The sequence below is a fragment of the Homo sapiens genome, chromosome 1 (assembly GCF_000001405.40).
Source record: "Homo sapiens chromosome 1, GRCh38.p14 Primary Assembly".
Classification (NCBI taxonomy): domain Eukaryota; kingdom Metazoa; phylum Chordata; class Mammalia; order Primates; family Hominidae; genus Homo; species Homo sapiens.
In genome coordinates, this window is record NC_000001.11 from 230,257,176 (window position 1) to 230,273,791 (window position 16,616).

The 16,616-nt window shown below is 48.4% G+C and overlaps 2 protein-coding genes across 9 annotated transcripts in view, besides 7 other annotated features; one reads left to right on the plus strand and one right to left on the minus strand.

Annotated features, from left to right (window-relative positions):
* GALNT2 (polypeptide N-acetylgalactosaminyltransferase 2) overlaps positions 1-16,616 on the plus strand; it is a 224,334-nt gene that overhangs the window by 199,387 nt on the left and 8,331 nt on the right. For all 3 annotated transcript variants that reach the window (NM_001291866.2, NM_004481.5, XM_017000964.3), the window contains 3 exons: positions 5,398-5,490; positions 5,747-5,830; positions 8,066-8,192. In NM_001291866.2, coding sequence (NP_001278795.1) covers positions 5,398-5,490; positions 5,747-5,830; positions 8,066-8,192 — 304 coding nt within the window. The remainder of the gene's footprint in view (positions 1-5,397; positions 5,491-5,746; positions 5,831-8,065; positions 8,193-16,616) is intronic.
* LOC124904542 (uncharacterized) lies at positions 1,482-14,935 on the minus strand. Of its 6 annotated transcripts, XR_007066927.1 has the most exons (6): positions 14,495-14,935; positions 12,460-12,550; positions 11,128-11,341; positions 10,726-10,887; positions 2,303-2,588; positions 1,482-1,912 (listed from the first exon to the last, which is right to left on the minus strand). XR_007066927.1 is itself a non-coding variant. In XM_047439172.1 (3 exons), exons 1-3 carry the CDS (start codon positions 14,669-14,671, stop codon positions 2,407-2,409), a joined length of 573 nt encoding a protein of 190 aa, XP_047295128.1. In that variant the 5' UTR covers positions 14,672-14,935; the 3' UTR covers positions 2,352-2,406. The 6 variants fall into 6 exon arrangements, 1 of the variants encoding a protein (XP_047295128.1); XR_007066928.1 differs by lacking the exon at positions 10,726-10,887 and having other exon boundaries at positions 11,128-11,319; XR_007066926.1 differs by lacking the exon at positions 10,726-10,887.
* Positions 7,941-8,441: an enhancer, noted in NCBI's record as "H3K4me1 hESC enhancer chr1:230400862-230401362 (GRCh37/hg19 assembly coordinates)". NCBI's record gives its function as "activates a minimal SCP1, AML or CMV promoter by ChIP-STARR-seq in primed H9 embryonic stem cells {active_cell/tissue: H9 hESC(primed)}" and the evidence as "EXISTENCE:reporter gene assay evidence [ECO:0000049][PMID:30033119]".
* Positions 8,442-8,942: an enhancer, noted in NCBI's record as "H3K4me1 hESC enhancer chr1:230401363-230401863 (GRCh37/hg19 assembly coordinates)". NCBI's record gives its function as "activates a minimal SCP1, AML or CMV promoter by ChIP-STARR-seq in primed H9 embryonic stem cells {active_cell/tissue: H9 hESC(primed)}" and the evidence as "EXISTENCE:reporter gene assay evidence [ECO:0000049][PMID:30033119]".
* Positions 10,031-10,541: an enhancer, noted in NCBI's record as "H3K4me1 hESC enhancer chr1:230402952-230403462 (GRCh37/hg19 assembly coordinates)". NCBI's record gives its function as "activates a minimal SCP1, AML or CMV promoter by ChIP-STARR-seq in naive H9 embryonic stem cells {active_cell/tissue: H9 hESC(naive)}" and the evidence as "EXISTENCE:reporter gene assay evidence [ECO:0000049][PMID:30033119]".
* Positions 10,542-11,050: an enhancer, noted in NCBI's record as "H3K27ac-H3K4me1 hESC enhancer chr1:230403463-230403971 (GRCh37/hg19 assembly coordinates)". NCBI's record gives its function as "activates a minimal SCP1, AML or CMV promoter by ChIP-STARR-seq in naive H9 embryonic stem cells {active_cell/tissue: H9 hESC(naive)}" and the evidence as "EXISTENCE:reporter gene assay evidence [ECO:0000049][PMID:30033119]".
* Positions 11,051-11,560: an enhancer, noted in NCBI's record as "H3K27ac-H3K4me1 hESC enhancer chr1:230403972-230404481 (GRCh37/hg19 assembly coordinates)". NCBI's record gives its function as "activates a minimal SCP1, AML or CMV promoter by ChIP-STARR-seq in primed H9 embryonic stem cells {active_cell/tissue: H9 hESC(primed)}" and the evidence as "EXISTENCE:reporter gene assay evidence [ECO:0000049][PMID:30033119]".
* Positions 11,305-11,534: a silencer, noted in NCBI's record as "fragment chr1:230404226-230404455 (GRCh37/hg19 assembly coordinates)". NCBI's record gives its function as "represses an EF-1alpha promoter that drives an FKBP-Casp9 reporter gene in an ReSE screen in HepG2 liver carcinoma cells {active_cell/tissue: HepG2}" and the evidence as "EXISTENCE:reporter gene assay evidence [ECO:0000049][PMID:32094911]".
* Positions 11,561-12,069: an enhancer, noted in NCBI's record as "H3K27ac-H3K4me1 hESC enhancer chr1:230404482-230404990 (GRCh37/hg19 assembly coordinates)". NCBI's record gives its function as "activates a minimal SCP1, AML or CMV promoter by ChIP-STARR-seq in primed H9 embryonic stem cells {active_cell/tissue: H9 hESC(primed)}" and the evidence as "EXISTENCE:reporter gene assay evidence [ECO:0000049][PMID:30033119]".

A 16,616-nucleotide genomic window follows, 5' to 3' on the forward strand; every position in this document is an offset into this window, starting at 1 on the left:
AAACACTGGGGCTTTTCAGCAGTGCCTGATGTCTGTTTTATGCTTTGGAAAGGTCCGTATGGTTGCTGGGCAGAGGGTGGCCAGGTGGTGACCCTATGGTGAAACAATGGTACGAGTGCCCCCTCCACTCTTGGAGCCAGAAGCAAGGGTCCTGTGAGCACTGTTGCAGTAGCCCAGGCCAGAGATGTGATACAGTCATGCACCTGTAACAGCGTTTCGGTCGGTGACAGTAGTCCCATAAGATTATAATACCGTGTGTTTACTCTACCTTTTCTTTGTTTAGATACACAAATACTTACCATTGTGTTACAGTTTCCTCCAGTGTTCAGGACAGTCATGTGCTCTACACGTTTGTAGCCTAGAAGCAATAGGCTGTACCATGTAGCCTAGGTGTATATTAAGGATACACCATCTAGGTTTGTGTAAATATACTCTATGATGTTCACACAACGACAACATCGCCTAAGGATGCATTTTTCAGGTTGTATCCCTCTCATTAAGCAGCACCTGGCTGTACCTGGAGCAGGTGTGTAGCAGTGGAGATGGGGTGAGATCCAGCTCCATGGTGAAGCAGGCAGCTGTTTGCTAATAGGGCGGCAGAGAGAAGGGAGGTAGAGCGGGAAATTAATTTAGGGTGATGCCCAGGAGCTTTGTTACACAACTGCGCTGGCGTGCTGCCCCTACAGAAATAGGGAAAGCCTTGGGGTGGGTGTGGGTGTGGGGATTGCTAGCTTATCTTTTGTCTAGTTTTTTTCTTGAGACAGAGTCTTGCTCTGTTGCCCAGGCTGGAGTGCAAAGGTGCGATCTCGGCTCACTGCAACCTCCACTTCCCAGATTCAAGAGATTCTCCTGTCTCAGCCTCCCAAGTACCTGGGCTTACAGGCATGTGCCACCATGCCCGGCTAATTTTTGTATTTTTAGTAGAGACAGGGTTTCACCATGTTGGCCAGGCTGGTCTCAAACTCCTGACCTCAGGTGATCTGCCCACCTCGGCCTCCCAAAGTGCTGGGATTACAGGCGTGAGCCACCGTGCCCAGCCATTTTTAAACTTTTTGGTTTTTTTTCTTTTTTGAGACGGAGTTTCGATCTCGTTGCCCACACTGGAGTGCAATGGCGTGATCTCAGCTCACCACAACCTCCACCTCCCGGATTCAAGCGACTCCCCTGCCTCAGCCTCCTGAGTAGCAGGGATTACAGGCATGCGCCACCACACCCAGCTGATTTTGTATTTTTAGTAGTACATTTCTCCATGTTGGCCAAACTGGTCTTGAACTCCTGACCTCAAGTGATCCACCCGCCTCAGCCTCCCAAAGTGCTGGGATTATAGACGTGAGCCACCGTGCCTGGCCATTTTTAAACTTCTTAAAAGTACAGATTATACAATACACCTATTATACAGAAGTCAGATTTTTCACATAGGGAATCTGATTTCTGAGAAAACTTTAATAGAAGGCAAAATAACAAGTAATGCTTCTGACCAAATTATCTTCTCTCAAAAACTATGTTTCTTCACAAATGTTGAAACTTCATTTTTGTTCTTTATTAAAACAAAAATGTGATCTTGTACAATAAGCTTTACAAAATCAAACAAAAATATGGATATATGTGCTTTTTCCTGGGGCAGCATGAGATTCTTTATATAGACATATCAGACGCCCCACACCAAAGCCATTGATACCTACCAGCAAACAGTGAGATTTCAGAAAACAGTATGTTAAAGTACTCAAGACATTGCACTCTTTGTTAGAAGAGAAACATTTTCAAATTGTATTTCACAGCCCAGGAGCCTGTATTCTCAAGATTTGGAAAAGAAGCTGATCCAGGGTTTCATTATTTTGGGGCAGCATGGATCTGATTAAAAAGCCCTGCTGTTGACCTTCAGCCAGGTTGCTCTTTACCTCAGTTGACTCATCTGAAAGATAAAGAAGTGGAATTATATCACTGTATTTCTGAGGTCTCTTTCCAGCTGCAGTTTCTCTTAATCTCCTATACAGGTTGAATATCTTTTATCCAAAATGCTTGAGACAAGAAATATTTTGGATTTTTGACTTTTTCAGGATATGGAATATTTATATGTACTACCTAATGAGATATCTTGGGGCTGGGACCTAAGTCAAAGTACAAAATTTGTTTGTTTTATATAGACCTTATACACATAGCCTGAAGTTAATTTAATACAATACTTTTCATAATTTTCTGCATGAAACAAAGTTTGTGTACATTAAACCATCAGAAAGCAAAGGCGTCACTGTGACCGCCCACTGGATTCACCTTGCCCGCTGCCCAGATGGAGCTGACTTACCAAGATGGGAATTGCAATAGAGAAAGAGTTTAGTTCACACAGAGCTGGCTAAGTGGGAGACTGGAATTTTATTACTTAAGTCAATCTCCCCCAAAATTCAGAGGCTAGGGTTTTTCAAGGATAATCTGGAGGGAGCTGGGGACTAGGGAGTGGGTGCTGCTGATTGGATGAGGTGCAATCATAGGGGTGTGGAAAATGGTCCTTGTGCCTGCCGAGTCTGCTTCTGCATGGATGGGTCCACAGGACAAGCTGGAGATCTGGATGGAGTCATCAGAAGTGCAGAAGCCTGAAAAGACATTACAAAAGGCCAATCTTACGTTCTGCAATGGTGATGTTATCTGCAGGAGTAATTGGGGAAGTTGCAAATCTGTGGCTGATTTGTTAGTCCAACAAAGGCAGTCTGGTACCCAGACAAAAAGAGGGTTTGTTTGGGGAAAGGGCTGTTACCATCTTTGTTTTAAAGTTAAACTATAAACTAAGTTTCTCCCAAAGTTAGTTCTGCCTATGCCCAGGAGTGAACAAGGGCAGTTTAGACGTTAGAAGTTAGATGGAGTCAGTCAGGTCAGATGCCTTAAACTGTCAATTTTGTCATTGTTAAATTTTTTGCAAAGGCAGTTTCGTCACTATCTCATGTTGGTGCTCAAAAAGTTTTGGATGTTAGGACATTTTGGATTAGGGATGCCCAACTTGTAATAGATGACATTTAATATTTATTTAATACTTATTTAATACTACCTAAATACTTGCAAATACCTGCAAAAACAAGGAGGGCCTGGACAAAAGTGAGTCTCCCTCGGTGCCACTGTATCTGCAGCACTGAGACTGTTTGGTGTAGATACCAAATAAATACCTGAGTGAACCAATAAATAAATGAATAAAAGGAGCTAGCACTGAGTAGCACATGGAGATCATTCCTTGGGGCTGCCTAGTTATCCTTTTCTATTACAAAGACAGAAAAGAGTTGCTTTGCGTTTAGGAATTTTTAAGTGATTTAGTCACTTAAAAACTTGAGTGATTTGAAAACAGTATGACTGGAGTTGATAAAACCTTTAAATCATTAAGGCTGAAAGGAACCTAGGACATTCTGGAATCAAATCCTTTCATGTCCCTGTTGGGGAAATCCAGGTGCCAGATGTTACAAGTATTTAAGTTAATAACTGGTTAAAAACTGACTAGGCATAGGTTAAGGCATAGGTCACTTAGCAAAACCCCACTAACAATGTTTAGTGGCTCTTCTGAGAAATGATATGTATGATCCAGTATCCCCCAGCACTTTAAGTACTCATTGTTGTATCTGTATATTTTTTAATAGAGAGAAAGTAAAAATTCATCAGTCTCATCACCAAACCAGTTGTGCCATAACACTCTCATAATTTGATGAATTCGTCTGTCAGTATCTATTTCTGTCTCTCTCTCTTGTTTGCTCACTGGCTCTCCTTCTGCCTCTACACACATATCCACTATATGCAATTCTGCAAACTATTTTATTTTCCCACAAGTCCAGGACATCATTTCTGTCAACATGTAAGATGCACACTCATGTTTTTAGTGGTCACAGAATATTTCATTTGATTCCTTCCTCATATTTAGTCATAAAGTTTCTCTTTTTTTTTTTTTTTTTTGCTATTATAAACAAAGCAGAAGTGAGCATATTTTCACATGTATATTTCATTCCTAATTGATTGCTGCCTTGAGATAAATTTCTAGAAGTAGAGCTGCTGGGTCAGAGAATAGGTGCATTCATATGTTCTTATCTGTGTTGAATGGCATTATGGATAATAGTCCATATTCTACTTACTAAAATGAAAAAGTATATATATCACCTTATATGAAAGATATAGGCCCCATACAGAAATTATTTTAATAATGGTATCTCAGATCAGTTGAAAGTTTCGCCATTTTAAGGAATTATTTTAAAAGGCGAGCATTACCTCCTTACTGTATTTATTTTGGAAGAACACAGTGCCTTCCTATGGGGTTCTTAAGGAGGGCTAGCTATAGCCTGAAGTGGGAGTCCACCTTATAGCCGAGACCAGAATATGGGAGCAAAGAGGTTAGCTGTGTGCTTGCTACTTCATGGATGCTTTAAGATAATTCTTGGCAGAATACACTGCTGATACCTATGCAGATGATAGCTTTTAATGCATGTCAGACATTCAAGAGTAGCTTGTCCCAGGGGCTTTATTTATGGCAAATCATGGTTCTCTCTATGAGATTTAAGTACATGGTTTTCTTTCCTTCTAGAAAAGCCGGCTGGGCGCGGTGGCTCACGCCTGTAATCCCAGCACTTTGGGAAGCTGAGGCGAGTGGATCACAAGGTCAAGAGATCGAGACCATCCTGGCTAATGTGGTGAAACCGTCTCTACTAAAATTACACAAAAATTTTAGCTGGGTGTGGTGGTACATGCCTATAGTCCCAGCTGCTCAGGAAGCTCAGGCAGGAGAATCGCTTGAACCCGGGAGGCGGAGGTTTCAGTGAGCCGAGATCTCGCCACTGCACTCCAGCTTGGCAGCAGAGCGAGACTCCATCAAAAAAAAAAAAAGCTAGTGCAAACATGGCAGTCTTTCAGCTTAGCCCCGCAGAAAAGAAAGTGATTTTCCCAGGAACTCTTATCTTATGTAGTCTGAACTTTAATGCAGAGCTGTCTGATAGTGTCGTAGCCGTGACGGAGAAGGCCGTGGGGCCTGGAATCTCCTTGCTGTGCTCTGTGGCCCCGGCCCTCTGTGGACGCGTAATGTGAGAGTTTTTAAAGAGTAACTTTCTTTTGTCCTTCTTTAAGATATAGACCCCAGTCCCTCCTTTAAAATATTGGCTCGTGCTGTAATTTCCACTTTGCCTTTTGCCCTTTGACCATCTGTGTGACAAGAAAGCCATTCCAATGGTTCAGTAAGCACCCGCTGAGGCTGGCTCCCCACAGGTCCAGCTCGAGGTGCTGGTGGGGACAGCCCACCCTCTGCTGTGTGCCGTGATCCCAGCTGGAGCTGCTGCACACCCAGAGGGAGCCGCCTCAGTCACACGCCAGCAGACAGGTGCAAATGGAGTGATGCAGACAGAAAGAAAGGAAATCACACCTCAAGATTTATTTTCTTTCTAGAAACACCCGCCGGGCAGCAGAGGTCTGGATGGATGAATACAAAAATTTCTATTATGCAGCAGTGCCTTCTGCTAGAAACGTTCCTTATGGAAAGTAAGTGGCAGTTCTGCCTTCTCACAATTACTGGGGATTCTTGGGGTGTGGGGGTGGGAGGTAAGGGGCTGCCCCCAGCGTTGAATTCAGCTACCCAGGTGCCAAGGCGGGAAGGGGTTGTGGGCACAGGAGCATGGGCAGTCCACACCACACCACCTGCCCCAACCCTGTTCTCCTCAGCAGATTTTCAAGTTTGATGTAGAAAGCCCATCTATTCTTAAAATTTATAAAGGAATCTTATTTCCCTCTTCTCCAGTATTCAGAGCAGATTGGAGCTTAGGAAGAAACTCAGCTGCAAGCCTTTCAAATGGTACCTTGAAAATGTCTATCCAGAGTTAAGGTAAGTCCCCAGGGATCTGGGGTTTCACTTTGTAAGGGCTTAGAAGCCAGTAAGGCCATAGAAGCAGCAGAGGGGAAATGGAGGTGGGGCTGCAGGCATGAGATTGGGCACCTGGGCCCCAGTGAGAGCCTGTGGTCTCACTCCATGGTGTGGAGCTGAGAATCTGCTCCCAAGTTGGCCTGCTGCTGTCTCTGTCCTGCAGAGCTGCCCTCCCATGCTTCGGAGTCCCAGAGGCAGTCCCCCGGGCCTCACCTTGTTTTTGGCTTGTTCTCCATTGGCAAGGTGATGGGCTGGGTGACCTGAAGGACTGGTGTCTGACAGGCTCTTCGAGTGACCAGGAGCAGTCCCCAGCCTCCGCAAGCATGCAGTGTCTGCAGCCAGCCCTCGATCCCCCCGCCAGGCGCCTTTGCATGCCTCCGATCTGCTGCGCTCACCCTTGCTGCTCCTGTGGGCCAGCAGATAACAGCCCCCACGAGGCTCCCTCCTCCCAGCTAGGTTAATCACATGTGAAACGGAAGTAATAATGCTGCTGCCCCACGTCCCTCCGGAGGATTCATGGCAGAAACACCTTTCTGAGCATTATTTCCACACCCAGCCTCTTGTTTTAAGCGAATACGAGCTCCCCATCTGGAGGGACCTGCTGATAACCTCGTGAGAAGACCTATAGATCCGCTGGGGTGGAGGAGCCATCTGCACTTCATCTTCTTAAAGGGACTGTCAGGCAGGTCGTGCCTTAATGCGGCACATTCCTTATTCTAAATATTCCCAGAGCATTTTACAGCGGCTCACATATCTCCAGCACAGTGCCTGCGAACGCAAGACTTGCCACCATTATCTTTCCGCTAACAGCTCCTTCAGAGCCCTTGTCACGGAGATTTGTTGGACAGTTAGGTAATGCGGCCTCTCTCTGTTGCTCCTGTTCGCTCACTTGGCTCTTTGGAACCGTTTCCTCTGCTTTTCAAGTAACATGCCAGGCGCCAGGTGGCCCATGCCCCCTAGGAGGAGAACAGGAGAGAACACAGCGTCCTTCTCCCTCGGATCCCTGCCGTGCAGGACAGCTTTTGCTGGGGATTGAGAGCACCAGATGGTCACCAGCGATGGTCACCTGCAGCGGCAAGGGTGCACTGGTCACAGTTGCTGGTTGCAGGGCCCTGGTCTTCTTCCTGCCAGCTCTGTCCTCTCGGCCATGTGCACTCAACCCAAAAGAACCCATTCTGCCTCTGTGTCTGGCCCCAGAATATGATGTCTACACCTCCTGCCTGGTGTCCCTATACAACAGATTCTTGACTGTGGGCACTAAGGCGGCTGCTCATCAACTCTCCGTCAGCCAAAGAGGGGCTTCAATTCAGTGGATTTTAACCCAACCATGCCACTCACTTTGCTTTTTCAGTCACAGTTGACTGCCATTTCTCACAGAGGTCACCCATGGTTTGTAGTGACACTGGGCCCCGCACCCACTGAAGACCACATCTGAGGCACTGAGCACCATCCTGGCTGGCAAATCTGCTTCCCCTGTCTGTGGGGGGTGAGGGAGACATCAGCCTCGTGTTTTGTGTCTGTAATATCACCGCCGTTTACTGAGTGCCTCCTACGAGCCAGGCACTGGGCCGTGTGCTTTACACGAAATGTTCTATGTAACACTTGCAGCAGATCTGGGTAGCCCATAGCCTACCAAAGGGCAAATCGAGCTTCAGAGAAAGTGAGTCTTGCCTGAAAGCCAGCACCTGGCAGAGGTGGGCTGAGGTTTGGATCTGGTTCTGAAGCACGTTGTTCTTCCCCGTGGCTGTGGCTTTGTTCACATTAGACCACCTGACAAGTCTGCCCACCTTTCCCGTCTTTACTGGATAAAGGTCAGATCCTAAGTGTATTGGAAAGTTCAAGGCAACAGGATCTGACCACATTGATTTTCTAAATGACTTCCAATAAGACTAACATTGAAGAGTATCAGGAGCTTTTCCTTCCTTTCCAAAAAAAAAAAAAAAAAAAAATGACCTGATATAGAATATAAAGAATACTTCTGCAACATACAGTCTTAAAGTGTTGGAAGTCCAGAGCCTGGGAGAAATGCCGTGTCCCTGACACACACTACCTGTGGTAGGAAGAGGCACGATGCCTAGTCACTGGGTCTTTCTCTCGTTCCTGTCACCTGTCATGAGGCCACTGAGCAAAGGGGCTGGTGGACGGGAGCTGGTGGTCATGTGCAGTGAAGCAGGTGATTCTCACGTTGTTTTTCAGGGTTCCAGACCATCAGGATATAGCTTTTGGGGCCTTGCAGCAGGGAACTAACTGCCTCGACACTTTGGGACACTTTGCTGATGGTGTGGTTGGAGTTTATGAATGTCACAATGCTGGGGGAAACCAGGTATGTGCATGGGGAAGCCAGGTCACCTGCAGGCCCAGAGAGAGCAGGAGTTGGGGGGGTCCTGATGTTAGAAGTCCCAGCTGCCACCTTTCTCCTGGGATGGGTGATGTCTATGAGGAAGCACCTGGCTCCTGCTGGCCACAGCCTCTTTGGCAGCCAGCACCAGGGCCAGATAGAATGTCACACACTTTGGTGCATCAGCTCTGTCATCAGCTTCGGACCAGGCTCTGCTGCAGCGGCAAGGGTGCACTGGTCACAGTTGCTGGTTGCAGGGCCCTGGTCTTCCTGCCAGCTCTGTCCTCTCGGCCATGTGCACTCAACCGCAAAGCACCCATTCTGCCTCTGCGTCTGGCCCCAGAATATGATGTCTACACCTCCTGCCTGGTATGCCTATACAACAGATTCTTAACTGTGGGCACTAAGGCGGCTGCTAGTTATAGCCCCTGCCTGTTAGATAATAGCTTAAGATAGAAGATACTCAGTATTAATTGCTTCCATTGCACACATACACACCTTTTCTGAGAGGCATAAAAATGCACAACCGCCAGGCGCCGTGGCGCACGCCTGTAATCCCAACACTTTGGGAGGCTGTGGTGGGTGGATCACCTAAGGTCAGGAGTTCAAGACCAGCCTGGCCGACATGGTGAAACCCATCTCTGCTAAAAATAAAAAAAAAATTAGCCAAGCGTGGTGGCGGGCACCTGTAATCCCAGCTACCCGAGAGGCTGAGGCAGGAGAATTGCCTGAACCCGGGAGGCAGAGGTTGCTGTGAGCTGAGATCACACCATTGCATTCCAGCCCAGGCTACAAGAGCAAAGCTCTGTCTCAAAAAACAAACAAACAAACAAACAGAAAAACCCACTACCTTCTCTTCTCCCATCATTGCAAAGGAGAGACAAAATGAAGGCTTGATGGGCCCAGCTGAGACTTCGGATTCTAAAAACAGTTTTCCCATGAGATAATAATAGGAATTGGGTGAAATGTGAGCTTCATGCACCAAAGGGTAATCCTGTGTGCTCTTACCCCCTTCCTGAAAACTTGCCTGGCACTGGGAGAGCCTGCAGTTTTAAAAAAGGCAGGTTAACTCCGTGTGTGTATCCTGAATGTATTGATTTCTTAACTTTCTTTAACTGGAAGTATTTTTGAAAGGGGGCATGTGCTTTTGTGTAAAGCTGGGTCCTCCTCCCAAGTGAGTGTCCAGGCAGACTGCAATCCACAAATACCTTGACTCCTTTCTTCACTTGGTGATGTGGTTTTAGCAGTTACTTGCAATGGCCTGGACATCCTAAATTAGAAGAGAGAGAGGAACCTGCCTGCCTGGGGCTTGACTGGGCCAGTCCCCATCCAGCATGGGCATGGGGCAGGTAGCCAGGGCCTGGCCCTGGTTCCCCTAAATCTCCAGCCCTTAAATAGAAGATACTTGGCGTTGATGAGTTAGAAAATGAGAGAGAGCCTCATTTTCTCGTGTGGTTTTGGTAGAGTTGATCCTGGATTCTCCGTATCAGCGTCAACAGTCTCGATGGTTCAGAATAGCTAAATGTGATGCTATGTTTGGGTAAGAGCCAATGGGTCAGGTTTGCCGACAGATATGAGTGTGCTTCCAGTGCCTGTGCACGTGTGTGACACACACACACACACACACACACACACAATAGCACATATGCTCATCACGTTCTCACACAACAGCTCTCTTCTCCTGATTCCCGGGCTCAGTCCCCCTCTCTTCCTTGTGCACATGCACCTAGACTCATGTGCTGCTTCTTTCTTCTTTTTCTGTTACTCAGATGCAGAGCTTGTTTTGCTCTCTGTTTCGTGTACATGACTTCATATCATTGATCTCTGTCCTTTTGATAAATATTGTTGGAGGGTTTTTTACTTGGCAGTACTATTTTGCTAGAGAAAGGGATTAGAAGGCAAACAAAGCAATCCCTTGCCTTCCAGAACTCACAGTTGAGCAGAGGAGCCACTGTGGGTTATGAAACAGAGGAGGCACCTGCTCACCTCTGTGCTGTCCAGGTGGCTGCGCCTCCTGTTATTCCGGCTGCCCTCACCTCCATGTTTAATCACTGGGCTTCCCTCTGCTGTGTGGCAGGACTGCATGCCATTCCCAGGCTCCCAGGGCCTGGCGTCTGTGTGTAGCCTCTGGGCTGTGAGGACACTCCCCAGGGAGCAGGCTTCAGGTGTGGGTGCACACACAAGCCAGCCTTCAGCTATAGCCTGAGGGACCAGTTTTAGGTATTTCACACTGTAGCAGGTCAGCCCCCCTGGGTACTCGTCACAGGCCCCACCCGTGTCAGGAGTCACCTGGAGGGAGGAACCCATACAGGGGGAGGGAAGAACAAACAGAGTGGAAGACGAAGCGGGTGAAAGGAGGAGGAGCCAGCTGGTATTGGTGGGGTGGGCAGAGGCGGAGGGGAAGGTGCCATCCCCACCGTGTCCATGCTTCTGTGTCCTTGTAGCTCCTCCATCCAAGACCCTGCTGTTAACTGTGTTCTCAGTCACTGCTGGGAAGCGGGGGGCCCAGGGGACTCACTCAGAGGTGATGGAGGGCGCCGTGCGGTGCTGCTGTGGGTCCCGCTGTGGTCCAGGTGTGACTGGAGGAGGCGTCTCCGCTGGCTGTGTTCCTTCTACACTGATAACAGCGTGTTTATTTCCATGGTTTGGGCTTTGTTCTTGAGATCTGGAAAGCAGTGAGCTTGGGGAGAGATGTTTTATGTGTTTCCATCTAGAACCATAGTGAAAATCCACCGAAATGCCCTCAGAAAAGTGGAGCTCTGTGAGGGAGGGGGAAATGATGGGTCTCATTCTCAGCAAGCTGGGTTTCATCTAAACCGGACAGACGGTGCTGCAAGGCTTGGTCGATCACACAGCATTAATGCAGATTTCACCAAATGCAGACATGTGGATAATTCGTGTAGGGTTGGGTGAAGCTTACCTCTGGTCTGTGGATGACAAAACGGACGAGGTGCCCACCCAGGTTCCGTACTGTCTGGGTGTTGGGCCTCTTGTGATCCCTGGCCAGCCTCACCTCCGTGTTTAATCTCTGGAGTTCCCACTGTCACTCTGCAGTGTTCTGATGATTTATGGAAGGTTGGAGAGGTCACTCCTTTCTGTGTCAGCGCCTCTGCTGGAAAGCGACACACCTTACGCTACAGCACATTAAACAGAAGCGTGTGCTCAGGCCCCGGCCGAGAGAGTTCGTCATCAGAGTCTCGGGCCCCAGCTTCATCCCCTGTGCGTCAGGCTCTGTGACTGGCTCACCCCCCGCCAGCATTGCACCTTAATTACCGCACAGCTAGTAACACGAGACAGAGTCTGGGCCCTGTGGAGGTGGCAGGTCTACGGGAACCAAAGACTTTGTCTGTGTAGCTGCTGCCTGTGACCCTCCTCACCTGCCCTCAGGAGGACAGCCTGTGTCCCGCCTTCAGGGCTGTGGCCCTCACCCCCCGGTCCTGCCCAGTAGAGAGTCTCCAGGATTCCTCTCTGCACAGTGCTGAGGGCAGCCACAGCACAGACCTTTGACACAGAGCGCCCATTCCTTGCCTCTGCACCAACTTCAGGGGTCAGCAAAGGGCTGTGCCAAGGAGTGAACAAGATCGGGTCTGCAGGGTGTGTCTCCCACTCTGCTTTTGCTTTTCCTTCTTGCTGTTGTGCAGCCATTACTGTTCTCACATGTGGGCTTTCCCTTCCTTTCCAGCAGTAAGTGCTGACTCCCTGCTCACTCTCTGTCCCCCTCCAATGGCCACATCCTGGGATTGCTCAGAGAAATTTTTTTTTTCTTTTTTTTTTTTTGAGACGGAGTTTGGCTGTGTTGCCCAGGCTTTTTTTTTTTTTTTGAGACGGAGTTTGGCTGTGTTGCCCAGGCTGGAGTGCAGTGGTGCAATCTCGGCTCACTGCCACCTCCGCCTCCCAGGTTCAAGCCATTCTCCTGCCTCAGCCTCTCAAGTAGCAGGGATTACAGGCACGTGCCACCACACCCGGCTAATTTTTGTATGTTTAGTAGAGACGGGATTCCACTATGTTGGCCAGGCTGGTCTCGAACTCGTGACCTCAAGTGATCCACATGCCTCAGCCTCCCAAAGTGCTGGGGTTACAGGCGTGAGCCACCACAACCAGCCTGCCCAGAGAACTTTTACAAAATGCTGATGCCAGGTGCTATGCCCAGAGAGCCTGATCTAATTTGTCTAGGGTCAGAGGGCACCACCAGATCTCTAAGAGCTAACAAGTGATTCTAAATGAGGATTTGGCCTGCTGTAGTGGTACACACCTGTAATTTCAGCACTTTAGGAAGCCAAGGCAGGAGGATTGCTTGAGGCCAGGAGTTCAAGACCAGGCTGGACAACATAGGGAAGCTCCGTCTTTACAAAAAAAAAAAAAAGATTAGCCAGTTGTGATGACCTGTGCCTGTAGTCCAAGCTACTCAGGAGGCTGAGATGGGAGGATTGCTAAAGCCCAAGAGGTCGAGGCTGTAGTGAGCTGTGATTGCACCACTACACTCCAGCCTGAACAACAGAGTGAGACCATGTTCCTAAAATAATGTAAAATAAATTAGGGCCGGGCACGGTGGCTCACGCCTGTAATCCCAGCACTTTGGGAGGCTGAGGTGGGTGAATCACGAGGTCTGGAGTTCGAGACCAGCCTGGCCAACATGGTGAAACCCCGTCTCTACTAAAAATACAAAAGATTAGCTGGGCATGGTAGTGGGCACCTGTAATCCCAGCTACTCGGGGAGCTGAGGCAGAAGAATCACTTGAACCCGGGAGGTGGAGGTTGCAGTGAGCCGAGATCGCACCACTATACTCCAGCCTGGGTGACAGTGTGAGATTCTGTCTCAAAAAAATAAATAAAAATTTTTAAAAAATAGGAGTTGAGGAGCAAGCGTTTTCTAGTGGAAAGATGAACACATCAGCACATACAATGTGATGTGAGATGGCAGGATGACATGATGTATGTTACACCCTCAGCTTGGGAGCACCTTACTGCCTGGGCCAGTCTGGGGCCAGTGGGCTACTATCAGTACTTTCCAATAGAACCATGTGCTATGATGGGGATGCTCTACATCTGCCATTCAGTATATCAGCCACATTGTGGCAACTGGGCACTTGAAATATGACTAGTGTGAATTACAAGTTTAATTTCATTTCATTCTGGTGAATTTAAATGCAAATGGCCCTGGGTGCCCTGTAGCTAGCACATTAGACAGTACGGCTCAGATATTCCAGCTCACAAACCCACTGTGCGTGAGTCCTCTCTGAACCGATAGAAAGTGATGCTTTTTTGCATAGCGTGTGACACGGATGAGAAACGAGAGGGTAAGTAATATTTCCCAACTGAAAATAGGGCCTGGTGCTTTGGAAGAGTGAGGTTTGTTATCTGGTTTCCGGCTGAGCCTTGGCAGACACACAGGAAATGAGAAAATTAATGGCCATGCCTTTTAAGAGTGGCAGCTCAAAAAAGCATTTCTTAAATATTTATGAACTTTATTTTACAAATTCAGATAATTGAAATGCAACAGAAGAACAAAACGGCAACTAGCTCTGTTGTTTGCCCAGCTGAATTAGTTTTTCTGGAATCCTGTGTAAAGTCTGCTTTACAGTAATTAAGCACACAATAGCAAGGAGGTTGTAAAAACATTCAGACATGATCTTTAACTGGGTGTCAGCAGACCATCCAGCATCCGCCAACACCTGCTGCCAGGGACAGTCTGGAACCCTTCTCCATACCAGCGTTGTCCCTCTTACTCAGGACTCTCCTCTTCACTGTGAGTGGGCGTCTCTGTGTACCACAGTTTCACACATCCTGGTGGTGTCCCCAGCCCCTGTGAGTGCAGGGACGGAACAATGTGCTTCTTCCTGGCCCTCTCCATCCTGAACGCCATCTGCCTATGGGAAACACACACGGCTTCCTCTCTACACTCCACACCTTCCATACTCTGTGACCCAGTGAATAGGAAAAAAGCTGCTTTTCCTCCTTTATACTCTCACAAAACTTCTCACCTCTGACACCAGCCCTGTGGGCTTTTCCCCCCACACCAAGCAATTCTCCAATTCTCCAATTCTCTGCGGACACTGAGTGTCATGCCTGTCAACTCAGTTCTGACACTGCCTACCCAGAGTTAGCACAGACCCCACGGGTTATGGGCTTCCTCCCACAAGATGCTTCTACTCCAGATGCCAGTCACAAGTCCAAGTTGTCACCTGCTGTCTGACTGTAAATCAGGGCTCCCGCGACCTCGCCTTGAATTCATTCATTTGCAAGAATAGTTCATAGAACTCAGGAAAACGGTTTACTTCGTGGCTTACCTGTTCATTAGGAAAGACTGAAACCCAGGAGCAGCTGGACGGGAGAGATGCATAGCACGCGGTGTGGAGGTGGGGTGTTGGAGCTTCCACGCCCTCTCCAGGTGTGCCGCTCTCCCAGCGCCTCCGCATGTCCGGCAGCCACATCCCGGAGTGCAAGGACTTTGACGGAGGCCTCATCACATGGGCATGATCTCCAGCTCCTCTTCCCTTCCCAGAGGATGGGGTGGCGGGGGACTGACGGTTTCAAGCTTCTCAGCATAACCTGGTCTTTCTGGTGACCAGCCCCGTCCAGGAGCCCATTAGAGTTGCTTCATTAGAACAAGACACTCCCATCACCCAATAAATTCCAAGGGAGTAGGAGCTGTTTGTTGGGAACCGGGGTCAAAGACCAAACACTAGAATGAAAGATGCTCCTAAAACCCCTGTGGCTCAGGAAATGACAAGGGTTTTAGGAGCCTTGTGATTGTGCCAGAGACCAAATAATTATTTTTATGATGTCACACTGTCCTAGAGTATGGGTGACGTGAGTGCCTGTGGGTGCTTGGAAGAGCTGGCTGGAACTCACCCATGTTGAATGACAGCATCATAGAATGTTGGGATTCGACTCAGGGTCGGGTGGCCTTCCCCAGAGAAGGTGGCCGGCAGGGCTGGGTGGGTCAGGGCTGCCTCCATGCCGTGTTTGGAATGCTACAGTGCACAGGCCAAGCAGGTGCTTCTACTCTAGGACTCTTCAGAGCCTTTAATAGACTGAATTTCCGAGAGATAAACACAGCACAAAGTCTGTTTCCCAAATTCATTTGACCTAGAATCCGTCTTTCCTAGGATTCCTCACAGAGTAGAATGTGAGGAACACTAATTAAAAGGTGAGAAAATGGAAGACCCGGGAAGTGAGCAGGCTTGCCCAAGCCTCCCTCCCTGTTAGGGGAGGAGGAAGTCTTCAGACAGGTGAAGGTGTCTTCACTGATTCCTAGACGGGTGTCCGTGCCTCTGCATCCCCTCTGCTGATGCTGAGAGCTGGAGATGGTGCATCCCGCCAGTGGTTGTATAAGGTCTGAATGCTAGAATCTTTAGGGTTTGGTTTGGTTTGGTTTGGTTCGGTTCGGTTCAGTTCGGTTTGGAGACAGGGTCTCGGTCTGTCACCCAGGCTAGAATGCAGTGGCACAATCACAGTTCACTGCAGCCTCGGCCTCCCAGGTTGAAGCAATCCTTCCACCTCAGCCTCCCAAGTAGCTGGGACCACAGGCATGCACTGCCACACCCGGTCAACTTATTTTTTATTTTTAGTACAAACAAGGTCTCGCTATGTTGCCTAGGCTGATCTTGAACTCCTGGCATTAAGCAGTTCTCCCGCCTTGGCCCCCAAAGTGCTGGGATTATAGATAGGCCTGAGCCACCACACCGGGCTGCATCTTCACCTTTTAATGTTTTTCTAATGACGGACTATTTGTTCCAACATGATACAGATACTAGACAGTGAGGCTTCTTTAAACACTATTTGTTCCTTTCCTTACCTCTGTTTCCAAGAACCAAGAAAAAAACAGTGTCTTCATAGCACATAATAGTGCCTGAAGTTGCAGAATACATTTATTTGTGTGTCTTTCATGTTCCCCACTAGAAAGGGAGCCTGGCTCTGTGACAGCGCCGGTGTCATACAGGTGTGCAGCAGGTGGTCATGGGACAGACCGATAGAAAGACAGACAGACAGACGGAGGGGAGGGCCACTGCAGCGTGCTGGGGCTTAGAGAGGAAGGGGATGGAAGTGGATAGTGAGTCCCTGTGGGGTTTTAAACTGGAAAGGGCCTTGCTGCCCCTCGATATTAAGGGGTGTTCATCCCTTTGAGTGGGACAAATGGAGAGTGATGGTCAGAAGCCTCACCTTCCAGTCCCTGCTGTGGCCCTGCCTGGAACAGGCTCCGGCCTCCTCTGCCACCTGGGACCATGTCTCATTTAGTATCCAAAATGGTTGTCCTCTCACCCTGTCACAGCCTTTAACTTGTGTGTGTTTGTACATATATGTGTGTGTTTGTTTGTTAACATCATGGTGTGTTATTTAAACACTCTCTAGCTCAGTTTTCTCATCTATAAAATGAGAATAATAATAGCCCTCATGGAGCTGTTGTAT

Coding starts and splice junctions, on each gene's coding strand:
- LOC124904542 (XM_047439172.1), bottom strand. CDS start 14,671: ATGAGGCCTCCGTCAAAGTCCTTGCACTCCGGGATGTGGCTGCCGGAC. Junction 11,342..14,494: donor CAGTCTTTCCTAATGAACAG/GTAAGCCACGAA, acceptor AATGTGCTGTAG/CGTAAGGTGTGTCGCTTTCC. Junction 2,589..11,127: donor TTGTCATCCACAGACCAGAG/GTAAGCTTCACC, acceptor ATGTCTTTTCAG/GCTTCTGCACTTCTGATGAC.